Genomic DNA, 4,862 nt, shown 5'->3' with positions numbered 1-4,862 from the left:
CAATATAGGCAGGTTTCTTATTTGAAATGGTCCGTGTAGTATAACATATTGTGGATGCTTCTTCCTTCCTAACCCATATGGGTTTCCATTGATATTTGTTCCTATAAGCTGCAATGTTTGTTCCAAGAAATCTGATAATGGCACGGCACTAATTTCCAAAAGCCTAGGATCCTCAGGATGATGCTTTAGTACCAGATCAATTGCAAATTCATAATTAACCACAGAGGAATGCCAGTAATGCTATTTGTTATTTTTCTCTACTGGTGCCCCACCAGGAATGTGTCCATGTTTCGTCATGGACCAGATTCCTATTTAATTTTTCTGTTTCCTTTGCTGCTAGCCAACACTCTGGAGTAGCTTTGAAGTACTCCTCAACATTCCAAGAAAATTCTTTGAAGTTTTCTTTTGAATGTAGAAAATTTTAAAACCTTTTAACAGGTTGTTTGTTAGGTTTTCTATCTAATCAAACCGAAAGGTATCTCTGTAAGTAGCAACGTAACAACATGTTCCATCCACTTTTTCTGTTGGAATTGCACTGTAGATACCTGCATCTAATGCCTCATGACTTACAGTTTTCGTTGCCAAAACTTTAAATGGCTGATTCTGCCTTTCGGTGGAGGGCTCCTTTTTCACCTCCCTAGAAACACACGGCATTTTCCGCTACACGGAGCCCAGGCGCCTCGTGGTCGGCCCAGCAGGCGGTGCTAGAGGAGAGCGCGTTTGTGAGCAGCGCCAAGCACACGCGGGAAGAAAGCCCTGAGCAAGTAAGCCGGAGGCTCAGACCGCTCACACCACGCGCCCAGCGACAGCTGCAGCCCGCGCCCCCAAAACCTTACCTCCGATTTTTTTTTCTTTCTAGACTTCCTCCTTCAGGATTATGATGAATGAAGGGTTAAGAATATGGAAATAGAGGCCGGGCGCGGTGGCTCACGCCTGTAATCCCAGCACGTTGGGAGGCCGAAGCAGCCAGATCACTTGAGGTCAGGAGTTCGAGACCAGCGTGGCCAACATGGCAAAACACCATTGGGCATGGTGGCACACGCCTGTAATCCCAGCACTTTGGGAGGCCGAGGCGGGCGGATCACTTGAGGCCACGAGTTTGAGACCAGCCTGGTCAACATGGTGAAACCCCGTCTCCACTAAAAATACAAAAATTAGCCAGGTGTGGTGACGTGTGCCTGTAGTTCCAGCTACTCAGGAGGCTGAAGCAGGAGAATCGCTTGAACCTGGGAAGCAGAGGTTGCAGTGAGCTGAGATCGCGCCACTGCACTCCAGCCAGGGCGACAGAGTGAGACTCCATCTCAAAAAGAAAGAAAAAAAACAAAGAATATAGGAATAGTAGAGATACCAGAATAGCTCCTGAAGATTATCAAAATATTGTCCCAGTAACAACTTTAAAGGGGTAAATTGTTGAATAATTAAGGTTTATAGCTCTGCCATTCTTAGACAGCATAATTAAATAATTTATTCATTTGCAAGAAAAATGATGGCAATAAATCCTTGGAAATGAAGATTGGAAACGGGGCTTGGAAACAAGGCCATCCATCCTGCTCTGTTTCCTCATGCAGTGTCCAAGTCGTAACTCGGCAAGGAGAGTCTGAAAATAATTTTGATTTTCTAATGGGAATATTGTCTTTAGGTTTTCCAAGACAGTGCATTTATTTATTTATTTATTTGTTTATTTATTTATTTATTTATTTTTGAGATGGAGTTTCTCTCCTGTTGCCCAGGCTGGAGTGTAATGGCGAGATCTTGGCTCACTGCAACCTCCGCCTCCCGGGTTCAAGCAATTCTCCTGCCTCAGCTTCCGGAGTACCTGGGATTACAGGCGCACGCCACCAGGTCCGGCTAATTTTTTGTATTTTAGTAGAAACCGGGTTTCACCATGTTAACCAGGCTGGTCTCGAATTCCTGACCTCAGGTGATCCACCCACCTCGGCCTCCCAAAGTGCTGGGATTACAGGCATGAGCCACCGTGCCCAGCCGACAGTGCATCTAAGAACAAGCTCCGGAAGTAGAAGTGAGTTGAGTCCAGAGGGGAGGAACATTCATCACCCTCTTCTTTCTTGACAATTGCCTCTTTTCTTTAGCTTGTGTGAACACCAACCTTCAGGCATTCTATTTACTTCTCCATTAACTTTCTCTCTCCTCAGATTTGCTCCCCACAGTCATTTCCTCAAGAACACCACCTTACTTCCACCAGCTATGTGTCCTCAGTTCCAGCTTTGCTTTTTTATGTTAAAAAGAGGCCTTTAGGCTGGGCGTGGTGGCGCATACCTGTAATCCCAGCACTTTGGGAGGTCGAGGCGGGCTGATCACCTGAGGTCGTGAGTTCGAGACGAGCCTGACTAACATGGCGAAACACCGTCTCTACTAAATACACAAAATTAGTCAGGCGTGCTGGTGGGCACCTGTAGTCCTAGCTACTTGGGAGGCTGAGGCAGGAGAATCGCTTGAACCCAGGAGGTGGAGGTTGCAGTGAGCCAAGATCGTGCCATTGCAGTCCAGCCTGGCCAACAGGAGCAAAACTCCATCAAAAAAAAAAAAAAAAAGCCTTAGTAGAGACATCTTATTTTATTGTCTGGGTCTTTCCTGCCAGCACAGTGGACAGACTATGTAGTAAAGATGAACCAAACCCTAACTGTTTACTAGCTGGATAGCTGTGGGGAAGCTATTTAACTTCTCTAAACCTCAGTTAACTCATCTTTTTAAAAATGAAGATAAGATTAAGATTTATATTGATTTAAATTTAGATTTAGATTTAAGATTAGGATTACTAAAAGACTTTATATCATTGAACCTTTGTAAACACCTGCTGAAATATATATGATTATTAATTCCATTTTACAAGGAAGGAAACAGGTGAGAGGATAAGCGATCTGTCCAAAAGTTACCCAGCTGCCAAGTGGCAGAGTTGAGATTTGAACTGGCATATGGATCCTGAGTATAAACTTTTTATCACTCTGCTCTATTGTCTCACATACTTGTTTACTTAATATTAACTATTACTGCTTGGGAATTTAGGGTAGTGAACAGATTATAACTAAAATCATATTCTAAAGATGAACCTGGGCCGCACACAGTGGCTCAAGCCTGTAATCCCAGCATTTTGGGAGGCCGAGGCAGGCAGATCACTTGAGGCCAGGAGTTCGAGGCCAGCCTGGCCAACATGGCGAAATCCCATTTGTACTAAAAATACAAAAATTAGCCAAGCATGGTAGTGTGCGCCTGTAATCCCAGCTACTCAGGAGACTGAGGCACGAGAATCGCTTGAACCAGGGAGGCAGAAATTGCAGTGAGCTAGGATCACCACTGCACACCAGCCTGGGTGACAAAGCAAGACCTTGTCTCAAAAAAAAAAAAAGTAAGGGCTATCCTGTAGCAGGAAGAGCCGCAGACAAAACCTCTCAGACACCGAGTAGTAGAAGGAAGGGCTTTATTCAGCTGGGTGCATCGGCAAGCTACTGCCTTAAAATCCGAGCTCCCCGAATGCACAATTTCTGTCCCTTTTAAGGGCTCACAACACTAAAGATTTCACATGAAAGGGTCGTGATTGATTTGAGCAAGCAGGTGGTACGTGACAGGGGCTGCATGCACCGGTGGTCAGAGAGAAACAGAACAGGGCAGGGAGTTTCACAGCGTTCTTCTATACAATGTCTGGAATCTATGAATAACATCGGTTTCTAAGTTATGAGTTGATTTTTAACTACTGGGTTTAGGCCAGGCAGGCCCAGGCCTGGTTTCGGGCCTGACGCCGGGCTGCCTGTCTTTGGTTTTACTTCCTTGTTGTTTTTTCTTAAAACAGGTACTGAGTATAAAACAATATAAAACAATATGAGAGCGTCTCTCTCTTCCCTCAATCCCAAATCCCCTAAAGCTTTCTTGAAAAATAAATAAATAAATAAATAAAAGATGAGCCTGTGCCTGTGTTTACATAGAAAGAAACTAGTGGTTAGCCATCACTGATAGAAAAGAATTGATTGGTGGCTGGGCGTGGTGGCTCACGCCTGTAATCCCAGCACTTTGGGAGGCCGAGGCGGGTGGATCACGAGGTCAGGAAATCCAGACCATCCTGGCTAACACGGTGAAACCCCGTCTCTACTAAAAAATACAAAAAATTAGCTGGGCGTGGTGGCGGGTGCCTCTAGTCCCAGCTACTCGGGAGGCTGAGGCAGGAGAATGGCGTGAACCCGGGAGGCGGAGCTTGCAGTGAGCCAAGATAGCACCACTGCACTCCAGCCTGAGCAACAGAGCGAGACTCCATCTCAAAAAAAAAAAAAAAAAAACCAAAATGAATTGATTGAGGCCAGGTATGGTGGCTCTCACCTGTAATCCCAGCACTTTGGGAGGCCGAGGCAGGTGGATCACTTGAGGTCAGGAGTTCGAGACCAGCCTGGCCAACGTGGTGAAACCCCGTCTCTACTAAAAATACAAAAATTAGCCAGCCGCAGTGGCACATGCCTGTAATCCCAGCTACTCGGGAGGCTGAAGCAGGAGAATCACTTGAGCCCAGGAGGCGGAGGTTGCAGTGAGCTGAGATTGCACCACTGCACTCCAGCCTGAGCGACAGAGGGAGACTCTGTCTCAAAAAAAAAGAAAAAAAAATTGATTGATCATTATGAGAGTAGTTAACTCATTGATTTATTCATTTAACAAATATTTGAGGGCAAGAGAATAAATATCTAATTATGTATGAGACAAAATGTCATGGTTTTATCTCTGTACCTTTTCACATATTCTTCCCTTTGCCTGGAATGTCCACACATACACACATACACACACACACACATACACACATACATACACACACACACACATATACACACACATACACATACACATATATATACACGTACACACAC

The 4,862-nt window shown here is 45.0% G+C and overlaps 1 pseudogene, besides 1 other annotated feature; it reads right to left on the bottom strand.

Annotated features, from left to right (window-relative positions):
• On the bottom strand, positions 1-797 carry RLIG1P2 (RLIG1 pseudogene 2; annotated as a pseudogene).
• Positions 689-1,495: an enhancer, noted in NCBI's record as "H3K27ac hESC enhancer chr3:109114646-109115452 (GRCh37/hg19 assembly coordinates)". NCBI's record gives its function as "activates a minimal SCP1, AML or CMV promoter by ChIP-STARR-seq in naive H9 embryonic stem cells {active_cell/tissue: H9 hESC(naive)}" and the evidence as "EXISTENCE:reporter gene assay evidence [ECO:0000049][PMID:30033119]".

This window comes from Homo sapiens, chromosome 3 (assembly GCF_000001405.40).
Source record: "Homo sapiens chromosome 3, GRCh38.p14 Primary Assembly".
Lineage (NCBI taxonomy): Eukaryota > Metazoa > Chordata > Mammalia > Primates > Hominidae > Homo > Homo sapiens.
This window is presented reverse-complemented; position numbering and strand designations above follow the sequence as displayed.